Genomic DNA, 2,107 nt, shown 5'->3' with positions numbered 1-2,107 from the left:
TCCAATAAACATAAACTCTTCAGACCCCACTGCTGGATCATACTCTTGGCAGCAAGCAGAGGAAGGCAGGGGCTACCACTGTTTTACAGAATAATAGTAAGTCAATGATCCAAGAAATGACTTCCCAGGGAAACGGCAAATTAAATACGTTCACAACCTTGGGCTGTTGAGAGTGGTTTTGGCTCTTGGTTTGCACATTGACGTCTTTAATTATTTTCTTGCTAAACCAACTTCAGTATTGGAAAGATAGCTCATGTATAAAATAACATGGAAAATGTACATCACATCCCATTTGTTTTGGGTTTTTGTCTTTTTTTTTTCTTTTTTTGGAAAATAGTTCAATAGTACTATCTCTTCCTTAATTTCTTAATGAGTGTCAATACCAAGGGGCAGCTTTGGGGATCTTTAGCCCAAATCTAAGCAAAAATATAATCTGAGCAAAAACTGTGTATATTTATCAAATGCAACATCAAGACAAGCCCCCCAGCTCCCACTTGGTGCTGCCTGTTCTGTAAGCTCTTGCTATATATATATATATAAAAAAAATCTGGGGTTAGTTTAGGCCCAGCGGGCAGCAGTTTTCTGCTACACATGTTTCTTTCTGTTTTTGTTTGTTTGTTTGTTTGTTTGTTTTTTGTTTTTTGAGACAGAGTCTTGCTTTGTTACCCAGGCTGCAGTGTAGTGACACTAGCTTGGCTCACTGCAACCTCCGCCTCCCAGGTTCCAGCGATTCTCCTGTCTCAGCCTCCCAAGTAGCTGGGATTACAGGTGCACACCATCACGCCTGGCTAATTTTGTATTTTTATAGAGACAGGTTTTCACCGTGTTGGTCAGGCTGGTCTCGAACTCCTGATCTCATGTGATCCACCTGCCTCGGCCTCCCAAAATGCTGGGATTATAGGCGTGTGCCACTGTGCCCAGCCTTTTTCTGCCCCCCACCTTTTTTTTGTAGTTGTTGTTTTTAGAGAGACAGGGTCTTGCTGTGTTGCCCAGGTATGCCTCAAACTCCTGGGTTCAAGGGATCCTCCCCCATCAGCCTCCCTGGGCTTATGCATGTTTTTAAAGAAATGGTAGATAAGAGATCTAAGGTATTCCAGTGACTATGAAACTGAGGTGAATGACTAAGGGACTGAGACTTCTCTCTCCAAACCTGTTTCTCCACTAGTCTTCCAAGCCTTCCCAGTTACTCCAACCTGAAAATGAGTCATCCTTGGCTCCTCATTACCAACCCTCACCCCACCCTTCTCCATCCACCAGCAGATCTGTTTATTCCACTTCCAAAATATACCCCAGATGTTCTTCCTCTTCCTCCGTACTCCAAGCTACCATGCCGTGTAAGTTATGATTGTGATTTTTGCATGTCTTCTTCCACTGCTACCTGGAGGCTGGAGTGACCTTTCAAAATATACATCAGATCAGATCATGTCACTCTCCTGCCAAAAGCCCTCCAAAGTTCTTACGGTGATCTAGCTGCCTCTTCAAACTCATCACACATCTGATCTTAGATGTATTATGCTTCAAGCACATTGGTCTTCTTGTAGTCCCTCAAACAAGCTTCTTTCAGGACTATGGCTCTGAACAAGCTTTCCTCTCTGCCAGGGATGTTATTCCCTCCTGCTATGGCAGGTCTGACTCCTAATGTCCTTTAATCTTTGCCTAAATTTCACCTCCTCCAGCCCTTACCTGGCTTCCTAAAGTGGTGGTGCCCCCTCTCTGATGTTATTTTATCTCTGTGCTTTTCTCTTAACAGTAATAATCAGAACTTGTAATTATTTTGTTAATATTTAAAATCTAGCTGGACATGGTGGCTCACGCCTATAATCCCAGCATTTTGGGAGGCCAAGGCGGGAGGATCACCTGAGGTCAGGGGTTCGAGACCAGTCTGGCCAACTGGCAAAACCCCATCTCTACTAAAAATACAAAATTAGCCAGGTGTCATGTTGCACACCTGTAATCCTAGCTACTCACGTGGCTCAGGCAGGAGAATTTCTTGAACCCAGGAGGCAGAGGTTGCAGTGAGCCGAGATAGCACCACTGTTCTCCAGCCTGGGAGAGAAGAGCAATGTGGGGTAGGGGGAGGGGGAAGGGATAGCATTAGGAGATATAC

The sequence above is a fragment of the Homo sapiens genome, chromosome Y (genome assembly GCF_000001405.40).
Source record: "Homo sapiens chromosome Y, GRCh38.p14 Primary Assembly".
Classification (NCBI taxonomy): Eukaryota; Metazoa; Chordata; class Mammalia; order Primates; family Hominidae; genus Homo; species Homo sapiens.
Note: the sequence above shows the minus strand (reverse complement) of the source record.